Source organism: Homo sapiens, chromosome 1 (genome assembly GCF_000001405.40).
Source record: "Homo sapiens chromosome 1, GRCh38.p14 Primary Assembly".
NCBI classification, from domain to species: Eukaryota; Metazoa; Chordata; class Mammalia; order Primates; family Hominidae; genus Homo; species Homo sapiens.
This window is the reverse complement of record NC_000001.11, coordinates 227,969,537-227,995,442: the sequence shown is the minus strand read 5'-3', so window position 1 is coordinate 227,995,442 and position 25,906 is coordinate 227,969,537. Positions and strand designations below refer to the sequence as shown.

General features: G+C 46.1%; 1 protein-coding gene and 3 pseudogenes across 1 annotated transcript; 1 reads left to right on the top strand and 3 right to left on the bottom strand.

The window, feature by feature from the left end:
- On the bottom strand, positions 15,017–15,394 carry SEPTIN14P17 (septin 14 pseudogene 17; annotated as a pseudogene).
- On the top strand, positions 17,239–19,070 carry CICP26 (capicua transcriptional repressor pseudogene 26; annotated as a pseudogene).
- LOC729033 (putative uncharacterized protein FLJ44672) lies at positions 21,073–22,271 on the bottom strand (annotated as a pseudogene).
- Positions 22,272–23,516: 1,245 nt separating this feature from the next.
- On the bottom strand, positions 23,517–25,638 carry LOC124904532 (nascent polypeptide-associated complex subunit alpha, muscle-specific form-like). Its single transcript, XM_047439119.1, has one exon. The coding sequence runs from the start codon at positions 25,636–25,638 to the stop codon at positions 24,085–24,087; it is 1,554 nt and encodes a 517-aa protein (XP_047295075.1). The 3' UTR covers positions 23,517–24,084.
- Between the last annotated feature and the right edge of the window lie 268 nt (positions 25,639–25,906).

Genomic DNA, 25,906 nt, shown 5'->3' with positions numbered 1-25,906 from the left:
GCCCCCTCTTCTAGCCCAGTTCTGTCAGATCTTGACTCAGAAAATAGCACAGTTTTCAGACCATCATAAACTCAAGGGGAGCCATTGTGACATTGGAAAAATAGACACTAATTCCACACTTCCAGCCTCCAGGGTCTTACTCTGTCCTAGGCAGTGCCATGGAATAGAAAATCCCAGAATTCCAGCCCAAACGCCCAGCCTCACATCTCACTGGTGGGCAAACCAGTCCAGAGAGACTACGGACTTGCATCCAAACATAGCACATAGTGATGGGGCCTGGACTGGAGCCCCCTGTGCCTCCAGACCCTCCATCCTGGCCGGCTGGCCTGTCCCCCCCACCTCTCTGCATGTTCTCTGATTCTATCTTGCTTTTTGTCTCTGCTCCCTCCCTTTCTTGCAGGGCTTTCCCTCTTCTCTAGGTACCCATTTTGGCCCTTTCCAGAGAAGACAAACACAAGGAGAATCCCATCTTGTGTTCACATGCAAGGATACGCTCTGGACATTTTTGTCCTATCTGGTCCATCTCCCCATCTGCCTCCTCCCCTCCGGGGTGACTCTGCTTTTACAAGCCTGTAGACAGAGATGGTGGAGAATGCCTCCGGGGGAGAGACACTACAGGGCGGGGAGAATCTCATTCCTCAGGGAGGGCTTGTCAAATGAGTCCTGGGGCTGCTAACAGGCAGCTGTGTTCTTCCTTCCCTGAAGGCCTTCTTAGGACAAATTCCTCAAAAGTGGGACAGTTGGCCCCAAGGTGTCATGCACATTGAAGATTTTACTACATATCATTAAACTGACATTCAGAAAGAAACCTCACCAATGGCATGAGAACAACTGTCCCCACCCCTCCACCTGACTGTCTAATCTTTGAGCAGCCTGGTCTCTGAGTCAAAGGACCAAGGAATGAGTGAATGCTCAGGGCCTGGGTGGGAGGTTAGGTTCCTACTGAGGGATGGGTGGGTTCCCACAAGGCAGGGTCTTGGGAACTTTGATACTTACAATAACAACCATTGAAATCAAGACACTACCTTGACCTATTACTGCTGTCTAATTGTCACAGCAGTTCAAGGGTGACCAGTTGTCCCAAAAAGCCTTGTTTAGAAAGAGTGTCTTGGGCCGGGCGTGGTGGCTCACGCCTGTAATCCCAGCACTTTGGGAGGCCGAGGCGGGTGGATCACGAGGTCAGGAGATCGAGACCATCCTGGCTAACACGGCAAAACCCCGTCTCTACTAAAAATACAAAAATTAGCCGGGCGTAGTGGCGGGCACCTATAGTCCCAGCTACTTGGGAGGCTGAGGCAGGAGAATGGCGTGAACCCGGGAGGTGGAGCTTGCAGTGAGCCGAGATGGCGCCACTGCACTCCAGCCCGGGCGACAGAGCGAGACTCCACCTCAGAAAAAAAAAAAAAAAAAAAGAAAGAGTGTCTTGGTCAGAATCATGCATTGCATTTAGCCGTCATGTCTCTTCAACCTCCTCCAGTGTGGCTTATTGGCCATTTATGTATCTTCTTTGGAAAAATGTCTGTTCAAGTCCTTTGCTGATTTTTAAATTGGTTTTTTGTTGTTGAGTTGTAGGAGTTATTTATATATTCTGGATATTAATCCCATAGCAGATATATAATTTGCAAGTATTTTCTTCCATTTTGTAGGGTGCCTTTTCATTCTGCAGTCAACACTTGCTGTTTTCTATTTTTGTTTTCTTCATAGTGACCATACTAACCGAGGGCATGCCAACCCTTGCATGGTTGAAAATCCATGTATAACTTCTGACTCCCCCAAATTTAACTACAGAAGCCTTGCCAATAACACAAACAGTCAGTTAACACATATTTTGTATATGTATTATATACTGTATTCTTACAATATAGTAAGGAGGAGGAGGAAGAGAGGGCTTGGTCTTGGTGTCTCAGGGGTGGCAGAGGCAGAAGAAAATCTGAGTGTAAGTGACTCATGCAGTTCAGATCCATGTTGTTGAGGGGCCAACTGTATATATCTCATTCATATATATACATAATATATATTACATTTATATATACATATATATATATACACACATCACATTTTTATATATGCGTATATATAACTTTTTTTTTCTTTTTTGAGACAGAGTCTCACTCCGTCGCCCAGGCTGGAGTGCAGCGGTGCAACCTCGGCTCACTGCAACCTCTGCGTCCCAGGTTCAAGCAATTCTCCTGATTCTCCTGCCTCAGCCTCCCAAGTAGCTGGGATTACAGGCACATGCCACCACGCCCAGCTAACTTTTGTATTTTTAGTAGAGAGGGGGTTTCACTATGTTGGCCAGGCTGGTTTCAAACTCCTGACCTCAGGTGATCCACCTGACTCAGCATCCCAAAATGTTGGGATTACAGGCGTGAGCCACTGTGCCCAGCCAACATTTGTATATATGTATATGTCACATTTGTGTATATATATCACATTTGTATATATCACATATCACATTTGTATATATACTATATATCATGTGCGTGTGTATGTGTGTATCCATTCCTATGTCAACTGATATTTAGGTTGCTTCCACCCCTTGGCTACCGTAATTAATGCTGCAATGGACATGGATGTGCAAATATCTCTTCAAAATCCTGTTTTCAGTTCTCTGGATCTATACCCAGAGTGGGATTGAGGGATAATATGGTAATTCTATTTTTATTTATTTATGTATTTATTTATGTTTATTTTTTGAGATAGCATTTCATTCTTGTTGTCCAGGCTGGAGCTCAACAGCATGATTTTGGCTCACTGCAACCTCCGCTTCCCAGGTCCAAGTGATTCTCCTGCCTCAGTCTCCCAAGTAACTGGGATTACAGGAATGCGCCACCATGCCCAGCTAATTTTGTATTTTTTTCTTGTTGTTGTTTTGAGACGGAGTCTCTCTGCGTCGCCCAGGCTGGAGTGCAATGGCGCAATCTCGGCTCACTGCAAACTGCACCTCCCAGGTTCACGCCATTCTCCTGCCTAAGGCTCCTGAGTAGCTGGGACTACAGGCGCCCGCCACCACGCCCGGCTAATTTTTTGTATTTTTAGTAGAGACAGGGTTTCACCGTGTTAGCCAGGATGGTCCCGATCTCCTGACCTCGTGATCCACCCGCCTCGGCCTCCCAAAGTGCTGGGATTACAGGCGTGAGCCACCCTGCCTGGCTCAGTAATTCTATGTTTAATCTTGCAGAAAACCTCCATACTATTTTCTATAGCAACTGTGTCATTTTACGTGCCCACCAACAGTGCATAAAGGTTCCAATTTCTCCACATCTTTGCCAACACTTGATGTTTTCTGTTTTTGTTTTCTTTATAGTGGCCATCCTAAGGAGTGTGAGATGGTATCTCATTGGTCTCGATGTGCATTTCCCTATGATTAGGATGTTGAGCATATTTCCATGTGCCTATTGGCCATTTGTATGTCTTCTTTTGAGAATCATCTATTCAAGTCCTTTGCCCATTTTTTAGTCAAGTTATTTGGTTGTGCTTGTTGTTGAAGAGTTGTAAGAGTTTTTAGATATATTGTTGATATTAATCTTTATCAAAATATATGTGTTACAAGTATTCTCTCCCATTCTTCATGTTGTAAGTTGTCTTCTCTGTTGATTGTCTCCTTTGCTGTGCAGAAGTTTTAAAGTCTGATCTAGTCCCATTTGTCTATTTTTGCCTTTGTTGCCTGTGTTTTTGGTGTCATATTCAAGAAACCATTGCAAAATCCAATGTCAAATTTTCTACATTTTCTTCTGAAATTTTATAGATTCAGGTCTTAAGTTTAGGTCTCTAATCCATTTTGAGTTAATTTTTGTTTATGGTGTAAACTTAGAGTCCAACTTCATTCTTTTGCATGTGCATCTCCATTTTTCCCAACACCATTTATCGAAGAGTGCATTGTTTCTCTAGTGTATGGATTTGACAGTCTTGTTGGAGATCATTTGGCTGTGTACATGAGAGTTTATTTATGGGCTCTCTATTCTGTTTCATTGTTCTATATGTTTGTCTTTATGCCTGTACCATACTGTTTTGATAACTGTAGCTTTTGGAATTGTTTTCTCTGTCTCTTTTTTTTTTTTTTTTTTTGAGTTGGAGTCTTGCTCTGTTGCCCATGGCGGAGTGCAGTGCTGTGATCTCGGCTCACTGCAACCTCTGCCTCCTGGAGACAAGCTATTCTCCTGCCTCAGCCTCCCAAGTAGCTGGGATTACAGGCATGAGCCACTACACCCAGCTAATTTTTGTATTTTTGTTTTTTTTAGTAGAGATGGGGTTTTGTCATCTTGGCCAGGCTAGTCTCGAACTCCTGACCTCAAGTGATCTGCCCTTCTCAGTCTCCCAAAATGCTGGGATTACAAGCGTGAGCCACCGTCCCCAGCCTGAGATTGTTTCCTTAAGTTTCTTTTTGGATTGTTCATTACTACTGTATAGAATGCAACTGATTTTTGCAAGTTGATTTTGTATCCTGCAACTTGGCTGAGTTTCTTTATTATCTCTAACAGTTTCTTTGTGGATCATTTAGGATTTCTTCTGTATAAGATCATATCCTCTGTGAACAGAGATAATTTTACTTCTTCCTTTCCATTGTGTTTTTAACTTCTTTTTTTTTTTTTGAGATGGAGTTTCACTCTTGTTGCTCAGGCTGGAGTGCAGTGACGTAATTTCAGCTTACTGCAACCTCTGCCTCCTGGGTTCAAGGGATTCTTCTGCCTCAGCCTTCCAAGTAGCTAGGATTACAGGCACCTGCTACCACGCCCGGCTAATTTTTTGTATTTTTGGTAGGGATGCGGTTTCACCATGTTGGCCAGGCTGGTCTTGAACTTCTGACCTCAGGTGATCCACCCGCCTCGGCCTCCCAAAGTGTTGGGATTACAGGTGTGAGCCACTGTGCCTGGCCTTTTTTTTTTTTTTTTTTGCCAAATTGCTTTGGCTAGAACTTCTACTACTGCATTGGATAGAAATAGCAAAAGTGGACATCCTTCTCTTGTTCCTGGTCTTCGGGGGAAAGCTATCTGTCTTTTACCATTGATTATATGACGCTAGCTGTGGGGTTTTTATATATGGCCTTTAACTAGAGAAAGTTTCCTTCTATTTCTGGGTTGTTGAGTGTTTTTTTTTTTTTAAATCATGAAAGGGTGTTTGACTTTGTCAAATGATTTTTCTAATCATTTTTTAATCAATTGAAATAGTCATGTTTTTTCCCCCTTCATTCTGTTGATATGGTGTATTCTATTGATTGTTTTTTGTATGTTGACCCATTATTGCATTCTAGGAATAAATCCTACTTGGTCAGATATATAATCTTTCTACTATGCTACTCAATTCATTGTGCTTTTATTTTTTGAGGGTTTTTGCATCAACATTCATAAGGGATATTGGTCTATGGTTTTCTTGTACTTTGGTGTTGGTATCAGGGTAATGCTGGTCTCAATGAATGAGTCAGGAAGCGCTCCCTCCTCTTCAATTTTTTGGATGAGTTTGAAAGGGATTGGTATTAGTTTTTGTTTTTTTCTCACAGAGTCTTGCTTTGTTGCCCAGGCTGGAGTGCAATGACATGATCATAGCTCACTGCAGCCTTGACCTCCCAGGCTCAAGTGATCCTCCCACCTCAGCCTCCCAAGTAGTTGGAACTATATGTGTGCATCACCATGCCCAATTAATTATTTGTTCTTTGTTTGTTTGTCTGTAGAGACAGGGTCTCACTAGGTTTCCCAGACTAGTCTCAAACTCCTGGGCTCAGGTGATCTTCCTGCCTTGGTCCCCCAAAGTGCTGGGATTACAGGCATGAGCTACCACACCCAGTTCTTTTTTGTAAATGTTTGGTAGAATTCTCCAGTGAGGTCACCTGGCCTTGATTTTATTACTAATTAGATCTCCTTACTGGTTATAGGTCTGTTCCAATTTTTCTGTTTCTTTATGGGTCAGTTTTAACACATTTTGTGTTTTAGAAATATCCATTTTAGTTAGGCTATTCAATTTGTTAGTATACAATTGTTCATGGCATTTAGTCATTTTTTTTATTTCTGTAAAATCAGTAGTAATGTCCCCACTTTCATTTCTGATGTTATTAACTTGAGTCTTGTGTCTCTCTTTCTTGGCTGTTCTATTGAAAGATTTGTCATTTTTTGCTGGCCTTTTCAAAGAAATAACTTTTGGTTTTATTGATTTTTTTCTATTGTGTTTTTATTTTCTTTTTCATTTATCTTTGATCTGATTTTTATTATTTCCATTCTCTTGGATGGAAGCTTTGGGTTTAGTTTGCTCTTTTTTCCCCTAATTTTTAAGGTGTACAATTATTGATTTGAAATATTTTTTCTATTTTAATGTAGGTGTTTACAGCTATGCATTTCTCTATTACCACTGTTTCCATGGTATCCCAGAAGTTTTGGTATGTTTCTTTTTTATTTTCATGTGTCTCAAGGTTATTTTCTAATTTCCTTTGTGGTTTCTTCTTTGACCCTTGGTTGTTTAAGGGTGTTTTGTTTAATTTACACATATTTCTAAAATGTTCAGTTTTCCTTCTGGTATTGATTTCTAGTTTCATTCCATTCTGATCAGAAAAATACTTCAGATTATTTCAATCTCTTAACATTTATTAAGAATTGTTTTGTGGCTTAACATGTGATTTATCCTGGAGAATGTTCTATGTGCCGTTGAAAATAATGTGCATTCTATAGTTGTTTGGTGGTATGCTCTATATGTTTTTTTAGGTTTAATTGGTTTATAGTATTTTCTAAATCCTCTATTTTCTGAATGTTCTTCTGTCTGGTTTTTCTATCCATTATTGAGGTGGGATATTGAAGTTTACAACTACTGTTGTAGAACCGTTCGTCCCTTCAATTCCGTCAATGTTTACTTTATAAATTTTTTGTGTCTGTTAGGTGTTTATATGTTTATAGCCATAATGTCTTGCTGTATGAAGACTTTCCTCTCTATATATTGTTCTTCCTTGTCTCTTGTAAAGTATATTTTTCTGACAATAATATAGCCATCCCAGCTCTTTTTCATTACTATTTACATAGAAAGTCTTTTTCTATTATTTTATATTAAACCTCTTTGCATCCTTCTATGTAAAGTGAGCCGCTTGTAGACAGCATATAGATGCACGTTGACTTTTAAAATTCAATATGCCAATCTGCTTTCTTAGAGATTTTAGTTAATTTACCTTTAATGTGATTACTGATAAAAGGATTTACTTCTGCCATTTATTTGTTTTCTATATGTTATATAATTTTTTGCTCCCCAATTACTACCTCTTTTATATTTAGTTGATTTTTTGTAATGTACAATTTTGATTCCCTTCTTTCCTTTTCTGTGTATTTTAAAGTTATTTTCTTAGTGGTTACCCCAAGGTAACCACTTTCAACCTGGTTTGAATAATACCAACTTAGTTTCAATTCTGTCTTCTATACACTACTCTGCTTCTATACATCTCTGTGCCTCCCCATTTATATTATTATTTGTCACAGATTACATCTTTATACATTATATGCCAATTAAGTTAGATACATAGATATTATTTTATGTGTATGCCTATTATATCATATAGAAAAATAAAGATGTTACAAACCATACCAAAAGTACATTAGTGGTGGCCTATATATTTACCTATGTAATTACCTTTACCAGTGTTCTTTATTTTTTCTTATGGCTTTGATTTTGTCTAATGTCCTTTCCTTTCAGCCTGAAGAACTCCCTTTAGCATTTTTTGTAGGAACAATCTTCTGATAATAAACTCCCTCAGCTTCTGTTTTTCTAGAAATGTCTTAATTTATCTTTTATTCTCAAATGAGAATAAAGAGAAATTTTTGTTAAATATAGAATTCTTAGTTGACAGGGCTTTTTTCTTTCAAGATTTAAATATGTTATCCTATTGCCTTCTGGCATCATTTATTTTTCTGATGAGAAATCAGATGTTAATCTTACTGAGAATCCCTTGTGCATGAGATGTTTTCATATTGTTGCCTTCAAATTTTTCTTTTTGTCTTTTTCCTTCAACAATTTGGTTATAATTTGTCTTGGTGTGGGTGTCTTTAAGTTTATCCTGCTTGAAGTTCATTGAGCTTTTTGGACAAGTATATTCATGTCTTTCCTCAGATTTGGGAAGTTTTCAGCCATTATTTCTTCAACTATTCTTTCTACCTCTTTCTGTCTTCTGTGAATCTCTAACTGTGTATATCGGTCCACTTGATGGTGTCTCATACAGCTCTTAGACTCTCTTTACTTTTATTTGTTCTTTTTTCTTTCTATTCCTGAGACGTAATAATTTCAGTTGTCTTACCTTCAGGTTTGCAGACTCTCCTGCCTGCTGAAATTTGCTATTGAGCCCCTCTAGTGAAATTTTCATTTCAGTTATCCCACCTTTTATGCCAAAAATTTGGTTTGGTCTCATTTTATAATTCTTATCTCTTACTGAGAGTCTTATTTTGTCATACATGGTTTTCCTGATTTTCATTGTCTTTAGCTGTTTGGGCATATTTAAGATCATTGTTTTAGTCTTTATCCAATCGTCCAATGCCTGGGCTCCTTAGGGACAGTTTTGATCTATTTTGTTCCTTTGAATAGGCCATACTTTCATGTTTCTTTTTATGCTGTGTAATTATTTTGAAAACTAGACATTTAAATATTATAATGTGATAACTTTGGAAATCAGATTACCCCTTTTCCCAGTGTTTGCTGGATTTTTGATTGTTGAAGGCTGTAGCAGATAATTTCTATAATGACTTTCCCAAACTATTTTTTGCAAAGACTGTATTCCTTGCCATATTCAATCACTGACATTTTGTCCATAGCCTGTGTTCAGCTTGTGTTTTTTTATTTTATATTTTTATTTTTTGAGACAGGATCTCACTCTATCACCCAGGCTGGAGTGTAGTGGCATGATCATGGTTCACTTCAGCCTCCACCTCTTAGGCTCAAGCGATCCTCCCACCTCAGTCTCCTGAGTAGCTGGGACTACAGGAGTGTGCTGCCATGCTGGACTAATTTTTAAATTTTTTTTAGACTAGGTGTCACTATGTTGCCCAGACTGGTTTCAAACCCCTGGGGCCCAAGCAATCCTCCCACCTTGGCCTCTTAAAGTGCTGAGATTACAAGGGTGAACCACTGCACTCGATCTCAGCTTGTGTTTTGACAGAGATTCCCTTCAATATCAGGAACTAAAAACAAACAAACAAATAGCAGGAACCAAATAACCACTCCCAGACTTTGCAGATTGACTCTGTGCCAGGCACTCCTTCAACACTTACCCAAGCCTGCACTTAGCTTAGGGATCAGCCCAAAGTGGAAGCTTAGGATCTCCTCAGGTGTTTTCTGAGGATGCATCTTGCCCTGGGCATGCATGTGGCCTTCTAAATCCCCTTGTACACATGGGTGCTTTTGAATGCCCTGATTTCCCAAATAAACCCTCACCAGCTTTTACTACTGGGTCTTAAGTGTTTTATTGTAGGTCTCAACTATAATCTTCTGCCCTAGGCATCTGCAGGATGTGAGTTCACCTTGCTACATATATATATATAGCAAGTAATTGCTATATTGCTTATTTCTGAGTAGAAGAATATGAGACATTTCCCTAATCATTATGTGTAATTACAATTACATATATATATGTTTATATATTACATACATATATATATGTAATTGTAATTACGCATAATGATTAGGGAAATGTCTCATATTCTATATATATAGACAGAAAGGGAGAAAATATATGAGGGAGAGAAAGAATCTTTCCATCTCCTTTGAGTTCCATGGTGTTGAGAGTCAGGAAAACTACAATTGCTTCATCACGCCTGCTTGCAATTATAGGGCTTTTGAACCATTTGTTCCCTCCTTAGATATCCTCATTTTTTTCAGATTCTTGCTTAGAAGTCACTCCTCCGTGGACCTCCTCTGACATATTAAACATTGCAGTCCATTATAAGCTGCAAGAGGACAGGGATTTTTGCCTGTTTTATTCCCTACTGTATCACCAGGGGCTACAGCAATATCTGACAAACAGTGGGCATGTAATGAATATTTGTTAAGTGAAGTAATAAATTCAATCAAATCACATCACCTGTTTAAAGCACTTCATTGGCTTCACATTGCACTTAGAATAAAGAGAAATTCTTTTTATACAATATAAGTTCCTGCAGAATGCAGACACTTTCTACTTCTCCAGCCTCTTTTCAACTCCTCTCCTACTAGCTTCTGTATTTAAGCCACATTAGACCTTTCTTCAGTTTTTTATATAGACTTTGTTGCATCACACCTCAGAGATTCTGTACATGTTCTTCCTCCTGCCTAGAAAGGATCGTCCCTCCACTTTCGCCAACTAATCCCTGCTCAACTTTTCGTCTCAGCAGGAGGCCCATTCTCTTTGGCAATCCTCTGGCCTCCAGCCCATTTATTATATGCTCACATGTCAACATGTACTTCGTACAGCATGTAACACAATTGCACTTTTATATTTTAACAAATTATATTTCCCATATTGAACTGTAAGTCTCCTGAAAGGAGGAATTTTGTTGTTGCTCATCATCAACTTTTTCAACATCCAGTGCACCATTTAGAACTTAGATGTAGTCAATACAGGTTTGTGGAATGAAAGAGGAAAAGAAAGAATTAATATTCCTTTAAATTAGGATGGCAAAGATTGTATATAAAAAATTGGCTAAGTTGTAGTCCATTCATGTTTGCTCCCAATTAAGGAGCACAGCTATGAAAAGGAAGGCTTCAAATTAATAACCAATAGATTTTTTAAAAAAGAAAACTGGCCAGGTACTGTGGCTTATGTCTGTAATATCAGCATGTTGGGAGGCCAAGGCAGGATTACTTGAGCCCAGAAATTCCAGACCAGCCTGAGAATTTGGCAAAACTCCGTCTCTACAAAAAATACAAAAATTAGCCAAGTTTGGTGGCATGTGCCTGTAGTACCAGCTACTTGGGAGGCTGAGGTGGAAGAATAGCTTGAGTCTGGGAGGTCAAGGCTGCAATGAGCTGTGATCGCACCACTGCACTCAAGCCTGGGTGGTAGAGTAAGACCCTGTCTCAAAAAAAAAAAAGAAAAATCACTAAGCAAAATAAGACATGTGAAGGATCATGTCAAAGGTAAGAAAAATTAGGGGAACATTAAAAGCTTTCTTCCCAAGCCACTAAATCAACTTGACTAACAAAATTACCACTTGATTTAGCATTAGAAAATTACATTACATATCAAACATAAACCCATTAATCAAATACTAAAGAAATTTCTGAGTTAAATGGTATAATGTTAGCTTATGCCAGAGCTGACCTTGAAAGATTGTTCAAATATGGCTCAGTGTGATTGAAAGTTCTGTGTGAATATGTTTTTGGAAAGATCCAACAGCAACACCTTAGTGTATGTTTTTGAAATAAAATGTATCCGAGTAGCAGCAAAGTTATTCTCAAATTTCCATTTTATAGCTGGAGATGTTATACCGTGACATATATGATAGGACCCAATATGGATTAATCCCTTTTAGAAGTCAATCAGGAAGAGGGGAGCAGTTAAAACAGTTGCTTGGTTTACAAACATTAGAACTATTTTCCTATTCACACCATCTGATTATTGTATTTTATTTTTTCCCCAGCGTTTAGACTACACAACGAGTTAAGAATGATAAAAATAAGCTCACCAATATACTATGTACATATTTACCAAAATCTGTGCATGCTTATACATATAAACACAGCTGATAATTTATTAGTTAGGCTCATTTGTAATTTTTGTCACTATAGACCAGTTTTTTATTTAAATTGAAGATTAGTATACATTTTAAATGATTAGTCAAAATAAAAAATCTAAAATGTGCCCTAAATACCTCTTAGGTCAGAAAAAAAAAAAGTCAAAAGCTAGAATATAGAGAAATTAAGAAATGCCCTAAATTTCTAATCTGACAAAAATTCATACGAGATTTAAATATTTTAATGGAAAATAGAACAGAACTAATCATTGAAGAAATTATAGAAAGGAAACAAAATAAACAGATTATATGGAGGATTTTTAGAAGATAAGTAAATAAATTAATATACTAGGAAAAAACAAGGGAAATATAATTGATAAATAAATACAGGTAAGAGTTCTTTTGAAATAATGATAAAATAGAAAATCTCTGTCAAAACTAAAAGGAAAGATGCATAAATATACAAATAAATGATAAAAAGATGTTGCATACATATATGACTTTTTCAGAATCAAAAAATTTAAATTTCTATAATAAAATTTAAATGTTTATAAATTTAAAAAACTAGAAGAAAGAATGTTGACTGTTCACAATACAAATAAATGACAAATATTTGAGGTGATGGATATGCTAATTATCCTTATTTGATCATTGGACATTGTATACATGTATCAAAATATCACTCTGTATCCCATGAATATGTACAATTATTTGTCTCAAAAACAAACAAAAAAAGATAATGGGAGAATGTTGAAAACTCAGAGAGAAGAGCAACTCTCACAGATAGGGATCCAGATAACATTAGCAGCTGATTTCTCGGCAGAAACCTTGAAGGCCAGTAGGCAGTGGATTATATATTTAAAATAATGAAGAAACCTGTCAATTGAGAAATCTATAGCTGGAAAACTTATCCTTCAAAAATGAGGGAGAAATTAAGACATTTCCGGATTTTTTTTTAAAACTGAAAAAAATCCATTTATCCCTGAATTTGCCATTCAAGAAGTGTTAAGTCCTTCAGGTTGAAATAAATGAACTCTAGGCAATAACTATATAAGTAAATAAGCAAGCTGTATGAATATACAAAGCTCTCTGGTAAAGGTAAATACATAAACAAACATAAAAACAGTCCTATTGTAATTTTGGTTTGTAACTCTGCTTTTTATTTTCTACATAATTTAAAAGGCAAATGCATAAAATGTAATTGTAAATCTGTTAGCTGGTATACAATGAATAAAGACATAATTTGTTACATCAATAACATAAAAAGAGTAGAGCTATATATATAGCAGTAGAATTTTGGTATGTGATTGAACTTAAGTTGAAATAAATTCAAATTAAAATGTTATAACTCTAGGATGTTTTATGTAATTCTCATAGTAACCAAAAATGAAATATACATAGAATATAAACAAAAGGAAATGAGACTAGAAACAAAATGTGTCACTACAAAAAAATCAACTAAAGATAAAAAAGAAATAATTGAGAAAATGGCAAAAATCAGTAACTCTGACGTATTAAAACTTTCCATGCTACATAAATCTGAAAACTCTATTTCACATAAAACTGGAGCTGAAAGAGACAAATATTTACCTATAAAGTTAAAAGTTATATAGGGAACAAACACTAATTTTTTTTAGAAAAAATTATAAAAAGAGTAAAAATATGCCTTATACTACCCTAATTTCATGTTTTACAGCTCTGGGAAAATAGAAAATAAAATGTTCTGTTAGCATGAATCCCTCTGTGCCCCCAAAAAACCCTATGGATTGCATCATTGTTACCTAAAAAGTCTATTCTCAAATGCAGCAGAGTGATATTTTTTACAAGGTAGATATTAATTTTAGATATGGAATAATATTGGTGATTTCAATTTTATAACACTGGGTTAAGATGAAAGAATGAGAAGATAAAGGTCCCTCAGCAATATAACTCACAAACATGTTCAGAAGCAGTAAGAAGTTACATTAATTATCTTTTGAAAGTCAATAATCTACATCTTTAATGTATGCATATAGCACAGCTAATGTACTATCGCTGGGTCCATTTATTCAATGAATAATTGCCGCTATGTGTCAGACATTTTTCTAGGCCTAGGAATGGATACATAAGTGAACAAAGCAAAGATTCTGGTTCTTGTAGAGTTTCCATTAAAAGACCATTTAGTAAAACTTTTCTTCCCCCAAATTATAAAATCTGTAAGATGATTTAACAACATGTGTAAAAGTCATTGTGGGCCAGGCACGGTGGCTCATACCAGGTGTGGTGACTCATAGCACTCTGTCACCCAGGCTGGAGTGCAGTGGCACAATCTCTGCTCACTGCAACCTCTGCCTCCTGGGTACAAGCGATTCTCCTGCCTCAGCTTTCTGAGTAGCAAGGACTACAGATGCACACCATCACGCCTGGCTAATTTTTGTACTATTAGTACAGACGGAGTTTCACCATGTTGGCCAGGCTGGTCTCGAACTCCTGACCTCAAATGATCCGCCCACCTCGGCCTCCCAAAGTGCTGGAATTACAGATGTGAGCCACAATGCCCGGCCTTATTTTCTACAACTTTGGTAACTTTAGCATATACCCCAAATCTGTAAGACATAATATTATAATTCAAATGCAACTCATGGCTTCTCATTGTACTCTTTCTCTAGCTTTTGAATTATTTATTCTAATACCAGTTTTAATTCTGACACAAAAGCATGGGAGTTCTAATCAAAATCCAACCTTTTATCATAAAAACTATGAAGAAATTATGAGTAGAATTTAAAAAGGAAAATAGGCCTATTAATTAGATTTGTCTTTGTAGCATTTAACTCTATAATAAATAACATAATATTTTATGCCTATGAGTCCCCAACAAAGCCTCCAGCTTCTATTTAGATATAAAATGTAAAAGTCACTACTGGATCCACAAGCAAGACTATGGTAAATAAATTTCTCCACCTAACCAGCTTCTTTTACATGATATTACATGTTTCTTTTGTTTTTTCATTTTGGCAAATATTGATTGTCATCTTCGTGTTTGTCTATGTCCTAAGTGCTGGGATACAGAATCTGAAAAGATGGACACAGGACCTGCCTTCAATTTCACCCTTTTTTTTTTTTTTTTTTTTTTTTGAGATGGAGTTTTGCTCTTGTCACCCAGGCTGGAGTGTAATGGTGAGATCTCTGCTCACTGCAACCTCCACCTCCAGGGTTCAAGTGATTCTCCTGCCTCAGCCTCCCAAGTAGCTGGGATTACAGGTCCCAGCCACCACGCCTAGCTAATTTTTGTATTTTTAGTAGAGACAGCGTTTCATCATGTTGGTCAGGCTGGACTCGAACTCCTAACCTCAGGTAGTCGACCCACCTCGGCCTCCCACAGTGCTGAGATTACAGGCATGAGCCACCATGCCCTGCTAGGAGTTCACGCTTTAGTTGGGGAAAATATACAATAAGCAAGCCAATTTTTAAAATGAGAACTGCAATTAGAGTTAAATGCTACAAAGACAATCTCACAGGAACATGGGATGTAGAATGATAAGTCTCTCAGAATAGTAAGAGAAACTATTGCTTCTTACGATGTTTGTCTTTCTTTGTATCAGTGCTCAGCTGAGTCTGCAGTGCTTCAGAGGCAGCTTTCATTTTATAAAAATCTATGATTTCTCCTACCAGTTGTTTTTTCTCTTCCTCGAGCTTCCTTATCTCCTCCTGTTGAATGATTTTAAGATGCTCGAACTTGTCCTGCAGCTGTGAAACCAATGTGCAGTTGTGACACCAAAGCAGTGTGGCTGAACACCCAAAAGGATATGCTTTTTTCTGATTATCAAACAAACCCAAATCATCACAGTAGAGCACGATCTTAATAGCAATCTCAAAAACTCAGGAGTAAACACTCAGATATGGAATTTTTCTTTTCTTTCTTTTTTCCTTTTATAAGATGGAGTCTCACTCTGTTGCCCAGGCTGGAGTGCACTGGTGCGATCTCAGCTCACTGCAACCTCCATCTCCCAGTTCAAGTGATTCTCCTGCCTCAGCCTCTTGAGTAGCTGGGACTACAGGCATGCACCACCACTACAGGCGTGTGCCACCACACCTGGCTAATTTTTGTATTTTTAGTAGAGATGGGGTTTTGCCATGTTGGCCAGGCTGGTCTCGAACTCCTGACCTCAGGTGATCCTCCCGCTTTGGCCTCTCAAAGACTTTTTTTTTTTTTTTAATATAGAGACAAGTTCTCGGTATGTTGCCCAGGCTGGTCTCAAACTCCTGAGCTCAAGTGATCCTCCCACCTCAGCTTCCCAAAGTGCTGGGACTGACTGGATGCAGTGGCTCATGCTTGTAAACTCAGCACTTTGGGAGGCCAAGGTGGGAGGATCGCTTGAGCCCAGGAGTTCAAGACCAGACTGGGTGATATAACACAATAGTAAACTTCAACAGGAGAGAGAATCTGTAAACTTGAATATAGATCTTCTGAAATTATCCAGTCAGAGGACAAAGAAAAAAAGAATAAAAAAGAGAAAAGAAGGCTGGGCGTGGTGGCTCAAGCCTGTAATCCCAACACTCTGGGAGGCCAAGGCAGGCAGAATAAGAGGTCAGGAGTTCAAGACCAGCCTGGCCAACATGACAAAACCCCATCTCTACTAAAAATACAAAAATTAGCCGGGTGTGGTGGCACACACCTGTAGTCCCAGCTACTTGGGAGGCTGAGGCAGGAGAATCGCTTGAACCCAGGAGGCGGAGGTTGGAGTGCAATGTGAGCCGAGACCACACATTGCACTCCAGCCTGGGTGACAGAGCATGACTCTGTCTCAAAAAAAAAAAAAAAAAAAGAGACAGAGAAAAGAAAGCCAACAAGACACCATTAGGCAAACCATTGTCAGGTTATGAGAGTTTGAGAAGGAAAGTAGAGAAAGGAAAAGAAAGCTTATTTAAAGAATGGCTGAAAACTGCCTAAATCATGGGAAATATTTAGACATCTAAATCCATGAAGCTTAAAGATTCCTAAAGAGGTTCAAACCAAATAGATACTCACCAAGTCACAATATAATCAAATAGTCAAAAGTTAAAGAAACTTTGCAGGTCAGGACAGAATCGAATAATACATTCAAAGTGCTGAAAGAAAAAAACTGCCAGCAACTAATACTATGTCTGACAAAGCTGTCCTTCAGAAAGAAAGAAGAAATAATGTGTTTCCTCGACAAACAAAGCTGAGGGCATTCAGGACCACTAGGTCTACCTTAAAAAAATGCTTAACGGAGTTTTTCAAGTAAAAATGAATGAAGTTGGGAGCGGTGGCTCATGCCTGTAATCCCATTTTGGGAGGCCGAGGTTGGTGGATCACCTGAGGACGGGAGGTCAAGACCAGCCTGGCCAACATGGCAAAACCCCACCTCCAGTAAAAATACAAAAAATTAGCCAGGTATGAAGGCCACTGAGATCGTGCCACTGCACTCCAGCCTGGGTGACAAGAGTCAAACTACATTTCAAAAACAAAAAACAAAACAAACAAAAAAAACAAAACTTGAGGCCTGGCCTTCTGCTCCTCTCCAACCCCCCCTTCTCTGGGCCCAAGCCACCTTGGCTGAGGAGGGGGCGAGGAGGTGTGAGCCCCTGCCAGGAACCCCCTGCCCGGACCAAGTACTCGGCCCCCAGGCCTGCGTTCAGTGAGGCCTCCCGTGGCGTCAGCATGTTCGTGTGGAGGAATGTGGAAGGTCACTCTGTGGCCGTGTTCCCCTGGTACTCCATCCCCTTCCTGACCCCTCCCTGCAGCCACATGAGGCCCAGCAAACTGCCAGTCACTCAGTGGCCTCCAACCAGAGAAAACAACCTGCCAAGTTGGCAGCTGTTGCTCATGAGCGTCCACCAGGTGGGACGGGGAGTGTTGACCCTGGGCGGCCCCCTGGAGCCACCTGCCCTGAAAGCCCAGGGCCCGCAACCCCACACACTTTGGGGGTGGTGGAACCTGGTAAAAGCTCACCTCCCACCATGGAGGAGGGGCCCTGAGCCCCTCAGGGGAGTCCCTGCTGGACAGTGAGACAGAGAATGACCATGATGATGCTTTCCTCTCCATCATGTCTCCTGACACCCAGTTGCCTCTACCACTCAGATGATGTCAGGCCCAGTCCCTCAGTGCCCTGCGCAAGGAACAGGACTCATCTTCTGAGAAGGATGGACGCAGCCCCAACAAATGGGACAAGGACCACATCTGGTGGCCCATGAGTGGCAGTCATAATCTTCAGCAAGCAGCACCAGGCCCTGGCAGGGCGCACCAGGGTCACCCCAACCAGGATAACCGGACCATCAGCCAGATGCTGAGCGAGCAATGGTACACCCTGGGGCCCAATGAGATGCAGAAATACGACCTGGCCTTCCAGGTGAAGGTGGCCCACTTGCAACAAGGACCAAAAGAAGTCCAGCTCAGAGGCCAAGCCCACAAGCCAGGGGCTAGCAGGAGTGTAACAAGGGCTCGTGGGAGTGGAGCATATCAGAGATGGGCACTGCCACTGCCCCTGGGGTGTCCTCTGAACTCCTGTCAGTTGCAGCCCAAACACTCCAGAGCTCGGATACCAAGGAGCAGCTTCTGTGGGGCAGAACGGCTGCACACAGTCAGGAAACCTGGCTCAGCCTGGCCCAAGCCTTCTCCCACAGTGGGGTACACAGCCTGGACGGCAGGGAAATAGACCGTCAGGCACTACAGGAACTGACACAGGTGGTGTCTGGCACTGCATCATACTCTGGCCCAAAGCCTTCTACTCAGTATGGAGCTCCAGGCCACTTTGCAGCCCCTGGTGAGGGAGGTGACCAGTGGGCAGCCCTGCTGCTGCCCACCTGAGCTGCTCATTCCCAGCACATGGCCAGTGAGGACATAGCGAGTGACGAGGAGCACACGGTCATCCATGAGGAGGAGGGGGTGATGATGTCATTGCTGATGATGGCTTTAGCACCACTGACACTGATCTCAAGTTCAAGGAGTGGGTGACCGACTGAGAGTGGGGACAACTCTGGGGAGGAGCCAGAGGGCAACAAGGGCTTTGGTGGGAAGGTATTTGCACCTGTCATTCCTTCCTCCTTTACTCCTGCCGCCCCTTGCTAGATCCTGAGCCCCCAGGGTCCCCCGATCCACCTGCAGCTTTTGGCAAAGTCTATGGTCCCACCCTGTCCTCCTCCTACACATACTCGGATGCTTCCTCCTCAACCTTGGCACCCACCTCCTTCTTACTGGGCCCAGGAGCCTTCAAAGCCCAGGAGTCTGGTCAAGACAGCAGAGCGGGCCCCCTACGGCCCCTACCCCTGGGGATGGGGGCCCAGGGACGCCTTCCAAGGCGATCTGTTTCCTCCCAATGGATCCTGCCACCTTCTGGTGCAAGAGACCTGAAAGTGTGGGCGACCTGGAACTACCAGGCTCCTCAGTCATCAGGGTCCCTCCCAACACTAAGGCTTTCCTAGGCAGGAGCTGGGCTGAGCCACCCAGGGGGCAGAGCCTGAAGAGAAACTGACTGGGCTTTTGGGGTCAGGGCAGAGGGAACCCCACGGACATGGATCCCACACTGGAGGACCCCACCACGCCCAGATGCAAGATGAGAAGGTGCTCCAGCTGCAGCCCAAAGCCCAACACCCCCAAGTGTGCCATGTGTGATGGGGACAGCTTCCCCTTTGCCTGTACAGGTGGAGAAGCTGAGGACAGGCTCAGGGAACCGGAGACCGAGAAGGCGCTGTCCTCTTCACTGCACGCGCCCCGGACCAGTGCCGGCCCTGATCATGCAGCTCTTCCAGGCCCACTGCTTCTTCCTGTCCACTAGGCCACAGCTGCTCTCCAGGCCCACTATGCACACATCTTCCCCTCCAAGGTTTGTTCTGCCCCTGCCCTGACTCCCAGCCCTGTGGGGTTCCTGACCGGACCTCACCTGGCTCAGACTCTTGACGCTGCCCTGGTTGCCCCACCACTGCCTCTGCCCGAGAGTCACGTGAGGCTGAGAGTAGGGGCAGGGGCAGCAGTGGTGCCAGTTGGGGGGGCGGTCCAGTGGGAGGAGCCTCAGCCTCGCGGGCTGCTCCGTGGGACTGATGACTGCATGATCTTCTGGGCACCTCACGGATCTTCAACTGCAGGTGAAACGGATGCTGGTGGTGGGTGCAGGGCCGCTGGGAGCCGCTGCATGGTTCCCAGAGGCTGGACTGGGGCAGGTGCCAACTGAAGCTGCTGGGGCAGCATGGGCAGGATGTTCTGCACACAAACCTTGGAGAAGAAGATGTGTGCATAGCGGGTCCACTGCTGCTGCCCCTGCCCTGACTCCCAGCCCTGCCTGACCCCACCTCACCCTGCTCAGGCTCTGGCGCAACCCTGGCTGCCCTGCCACTGCCTCTGCCCCAGAGTTGGGGCCTTGACAGCCTGGTTGGAAGGGGACACCCCAGCCCTGCCTCAACACCTGGGGGTCTCCATAACTACCACAGGCAGGTGGGCGACCCCAAAGAAGATCCCAGGACTCACAGTACCCCCTGAGAACATGGACAGTATGTGGGGGTAGCAATGGAGGGCAGGATGGTTATCTTCTCCCAGGTAAAGCCATTTAATCCTTTCAGTTTGGGACGGAATAAGGCCTGCCTCTTTTTTTTTTTTTTTTTTTTTTTTGAGACCGAGTCTTGCTCTGTCGCCCAGGCTGGAGTGCAGTGGTGCGATCTTGGCTCACTGCAACCTCTTCCCGCTGGGTTCACACCATTCTCCTGCCTCAGCCTTCCGGGTAGCTAGGATTACAGGTGCACGCTACCACGTCCAGCTAATTTTTGTATTTTTAGTACAGACGGGGCTTCATCATCTTGGCCAGGCTGATTTCGATCCCCTGACATCGTGATCTGCCTGCCTCCCCCTCCCAAAGTGCTGGGATTACAGGCGTGAGCCACCACGCCTGGCCAAGGCCTGCTCCTCTTATCTATACCCCCTACCCCTGCAGCTGTGCCGGGGGAAAGCTGGGCAGTTTCCCTCCTCCGAGCCCCTGTACATACCATGAATTGTGGGACCTTCAGAGCTTTTCACTTTTCGGAAAATAGCTCCTGCTGGGGCTACAAGATGGAGTGTGAAGAGGGCCTTGGGCCACAGGGAGGCGCCTGTGGACTAGGGGGAGTTCATGCACCCCTTCTTTCCTCAGAGGGGCTGGACTCAGGTGAGTATGGGGGTGGGGGCTCCTGCACTTCGACACAGGGAGCGGGAGGGTTTTCTCCCCATTCCCTCTGCACTCCCAACTTGAGCTATACTTTTTAAGAAAGTGATTCACCCTGCCTTTGCCCCCTTCCCCAGAAAAGAACACGTTGATCATGGGCGATATTTTTCATTGTGCCAAAAAGTTGCCATGACCGTCATTAAACCTGTTTAACACCAAATAATAAGGAAAATAGAATAAAAAATTCGGGCATGGTGCAGAAACTCACTCCAAATAAATTGCCGAAAAAAATATTTATATAATGGTGGAAATATTCCAAAATTCAATATTTTGGGATTTATACCCAAAAGATAAACAAATTAGAGGCCAAGAGGCTGCCGGAAGGGAAAAACGGGGCCTGGGAAGGCCGTTGTGAGGAATGAGCTGGGCCTAAAGAGGCCACTGGGAGGCAGGAGCTGGACCTGCTGAAGCGGCCGAGAGGCAGGAGTTTTGGACTCCGGAGGCCGCAGTGAGGCGAGAGCTAGCTGGGCGTGGAGAGTCCGCTGTGAGGCCGAGGCCGGGCCCGTGCAGGCCTTCGAGAGGCAGGAGGCCGGGCCTGCAAAGGCCCACTGGAGGTCAAGTTCTGGGCCTGAAGAGGCCGCCAAAAGTCAAAAGCGGGGCCTGGGAAGGCCGCCGAGAGCCATGAGCTGGGCTGGGCCGAAAGAGGCCACTGGGAGGCAGGAGGAGCTGGGCCTGGAGAGGCTGACTCGAGGAAGTTTTGCACCTGGAGAGGCCGCCGAGAGGACGGAGTTGGGCCCGGGGAGGCCGACTTGCTGCTCTTCCAGGCCCAATTCCAGGCCGATTTGAGGATGACTTGGGCCTGCAGAGGCCGCCGGGAGGCCCAAGCTGGGCCTGGAGAGGCCGACTTCGGGACGATTTGGGCCTGCAGAGGCCGCCAGGAGGCCCAAGCTGGGCCTAGAGGAGCCCACCGACCGGAGGCCGTTTGGGGCCTGCAGATGCCATCGGAGGGCAGGAGCTGAGCCTGGAGAGGCCACCGTGAGGCCTGACCTGGGCCTGGGGAACTTGGCTTCGGGAAGTTGTGGGCCTACCAGGGCCACTGGGAGCTGGGCAGGAGCTGAGTCCAAAGACGTTGTTGGGAGGCCAGAGTCGGGCCTGGAGACGCAGCCGGGAGGAAGAGCTGGGCCCGGAGAGGACGCCGGGAGGCTGCAAGTGGGTCTGGAGAGGCCGAATTGAGGAGGCCCGGCCTCTGTCTCCCCCATGGCGGCCTCTGCAGGCCCAGCTGTTCCTCCTGGCTGCATCTCCCGGCCCAGCTCCTGCCTCTCAGCAAACAAGCTCTTTTGGCTCAGCTCCCGCCGGCATTTGTTGACCCCGAAGTTTCTGCAACCAAGCGCTCAGGCCCACATCCCGCCTCCAATAGCCTGAACAGTCCCAGCTCTGGCTGGAGAAGAGCGTCTGCAGGCCCCGCTGTTGCCTCCCAGGGGTGTCTCCAGGCCCAGCTCTCGCCCCACAGCGACCTCCCAGGCCCAAGTCCCTGCCTGCCTCCCAGCAGCCCGCGTGCGACCCTGCTCCTCCCTCACGGTGGCCTGTTGAGGCAGGGGCTCAGGCTGACCTCTGTCAGCGCGGGAGGGGCCGGTGTGAGGCAAGGGCTCACACTGACCTCTCTCAGCGTGGGAGGAGCCAGTGTGAGGCAAGGGCTCACGCCTCTGGGCAGTGTGCCAGATGCATGAGTTGGGCATCAACAGGCCACCGTGAGGGAGGAGCTGGGCCGCACGTGGGCTGCTGGGAGGCAGGCAGGGACTTGGCCCCGGGAGGCCGCCATGGGGGCAAGAGCTGGGCCTGGAGAGGCCCCTGGGAGGCAAGCGCGGGGCCTGCAGAGGCTGTTCTCCAACCAGTGCTGGGCCTGTACAGGCCACCGGGCGGCAGGAATTAGGCCCGAAGAACTTGGCTGGAGAAAGTTCGGGGCCTACAAAGGCGGTTGGGAGCTGGGCAGGAGTTGAGCCAAAAGAGCTTGCTTACTTGCTGGGAGGCAGGACCGGGAGAGGCCGACTTCAGGACAACTTGGGCCTGCAGAGGTCGCCGGGAGGCCCAAGCTTGGCGTGGAGGAGCCCACCGACCGGAGTCCATTTGGGGCCTGCAGATGCCATCGGAGGGCAGGAGCTCATCCTGGAGAGGCCACCGTGAGGCCTGAGCTGGGCCTGGGGAGCTTGGCTTCGGGAAGTTGTGGGCCTACCAGGGCCGCTGGGAGCTGGGCAGGAGCTGAGTCCAAAGACGTTGTTGGGAGGCCAGAGTCGGGCCTGGAGACGCAGCCGGGAGGAAGAGCTGGGCCCGGAGAGGACGCCGGGAGGCTGCAAGTGGGTCTGGAGAGGCCGACTTGAGGAGGCCCGGCCTCTGCCTCCTGCATGGCCACCTCTGCAGGCCCAGCTGTTCCTCCTGGCTGCATCTCCCGCCTCCCAGCAAACAAGCTCTTTCGGCTCAGCTCCCGCCAGCCTTTGTACACCCCGAAGTTTCTGCAACCAAGCTCTTCAGACCCACATCCCGCCTCCCAGTGCCTGAACAGTCCCAGCTCCGGCTGGAGAAGAGAGTCTGTAGGCCCAGCTGTTGCCTCCCAGGGGTGTCTCCAGGCCCAGCTCTCGCCCCACTGCGACCTCCCAGGCCCAAGTCCCTGCCTGCCTCCCAGCAGCCCGCGTGCGACCCTGCTCCTCCCTCACGGTGGCCTGTTGAGGCAGGGGCTCACGCTGACCTCTGTCAGCCTGGGAGGGGCCGGTGTGAGAATAGGGGCTCAGGCTGACCTCTGTCAGCATGGGAGGGGCCGGTGTGAGGCAAGGGCTCACGCCTCTGGGCAGGGTGCCAGAGGCATGAGTTGGGCATCAACAGGCCACCGTGAGGGAGGAGCTGGGCCGCACGCGGGCTGCCGGGAGGCAGGCAGGGACTTGGCCCCGGGAGGCCGCCATGGGGGCAAGAGCTGGGCCTGGAGAGGCCCCTGGGAGGCAAGCGCGGGGCCTGCAGAGGCTGTTCTCCAACCAGTGCTGGGCCTGTACAGGCCACCGGGCGGCAGGAATTAGGCCCGAAGAACTTGGCTGGAGAAAGTTCGGGGCCTACAAAGGCGGTTGGGAGCTGGGCAGGAGTTGAGCCAAAAGAGCTTGCTTACTTGCTGGGAGGCAGGACCGGGAGAGGCCGACTTCAGGACAACTTGGGTCTGCAGAGGTCGCCGGGAGGCCCAAGCTTGGCGTGGAGGAGCCCACCGACCGGAGACCATTTGGGGCCTGCAGATGCCATCGGAGGGCAGGAGCTCATCCTGGAGAGGCCACCGTGAGGCCTGACCTGGGCCTGGGGAGCTTGGCTTGAGGAAGCTGTGGGCCGACCAAGGCCGCCAGGAGATGGGTAGGCACTGAGTCCAAAAAGGTTGTTGAGAGGCAGGAGTCGGGCCTGGAGAGCAGCCGGGAGGAAGAGCTGGGCCCAGAGAGGACGCCCGGAGGCTGCAAGTGGGTCTGGAGAGGCCGACTTGAGGAGGTTCTGGGCCCGGAGAGGCCGCCGGAAGGGAAAAACTGGGCCTGGAAAGGCCGTTGTGAGGAATGAGCCCCATGGGCCTGAAGAGGCCACTGGCAGGCGGGAGCTGGGCCTGCCGAAGCGGCTGAGAGGCAGGAGCTTTGGACTCGGGAAGCCGCAGTGAGGCGAGAGCTAGCTGGGCGTGGAGAGTCTGCTGTGAGGCAGAGGCTGGGCCTGTGCAGGCCTTTGGGAGGCAGGAGGCCTGGCCTTGTCGAGGCCTGCAGAGGCCACCGAAAGTCAAAAGCAGGGCCTGGGAAGGCCGCCGGGAGGCATGAGCTGGGCTGGGCCGAAAGAGGCCACTGGGAGGCAGGAGGAGCTGGGCCTGGAGAGGCTGACTCGAGGAACTTTTGCACCCGGAAAGGCCGCCGAGAGGCCGTTGCTGGGCCTGGGGAGGCCAACTTGAGGACGACTTGGGCCTGCAGAGGCCGCCGGGAGGCAGGAGCTGGCCCTGGACAGGCCGACTTGACGACAGTCTGGGCCTGCAGAGGCCGCCGAGAGGAAGAGCTGGGCCTGGAGAGGCCGACTGGAGGAAGTCCAGGGCCTGGAGAGGATGCAAAGCAGCAAACGCTAGGCCTGGAAAGGCTGCCCTGAGGCACGGGCTTGGCCAGCAGAGGCCACTGGGAGGCAGGAGCTGGGCCCACAGAGGCTCCCGAGAGGGAGGAGCATTGCCCCAGGAGGCCACGGTGAGGAAGAGGTGGGCCTGGAGAGCCCACTGTGAGGTAGAGGCCGGGCCTGTAGAGGCCGCCGACAGGCAGGGGATGGGCCCGTTGAGGCCACGAGAGGCATGAGCTGGGCCTCAACAGGCCAGTGTGAGGCAGGAGCTGACACTTGGGCACGTTGCAAGAGGCATGAGTTGGGCCGAAAGAGGCCACCGTGAGGGAGGAGCTGGGCCTGTACAAGCTGCCAAAAGGCAGGAGCAGCTTTGGACTGGAGAGGCCGCAGACAGGGAAGAGCTGGGTGTGAAGAGTCTGCTGTGAGGCAGAGGCTGGGCCTGTACATGCCCTCGGGAAGCAGGAGGCTGGGCCTGGAGAGGCCGACTTGAGAAAGTTTTGCTCCTGGAGAGGCCACTCAGAGGCAAGAGCTGGGTGTGAAGAGGCTGACTTGAGGTCGATTTTGGCCTGCAGAAGCCACCGGTAGCTAGGAGTTGGCCCTGGAGAGGCTGACCTGAGGACAATTTTGGCCTGTAGAGGCCACTGGGAGGGAGAGCTTGGTCTGGAGAGGCCAACTGGAGTAAGTTCAGGGCTTGGAGAGGATGCACAAAAGGAAATGCTCAGCCTGGAAAGTGTGCTGTGAGGCATTAGCTTGGCCTACACAGCACTTGGAGGCAGGAGCTGCGCCTGCAGAGGGTGACTTCAGGATGATTTTGGCCTGCAGAAGCCTTTGGGAGGAAGAGCTTGGCCTGGACCGGCTGACTGGAGGAAGTTTTGGGACTGGAGTATGCGTCAAAAAGCAAAAGTTAGGCTAGGGAAGGCCACTTCACGGCATGATCTTGGCCTACAGAGGCAATTGCGAGGCAGGAGCTTGGCCTGTAGAGGCTGCCGAAAGGCAGGAGCTTGGCCTTAGGAG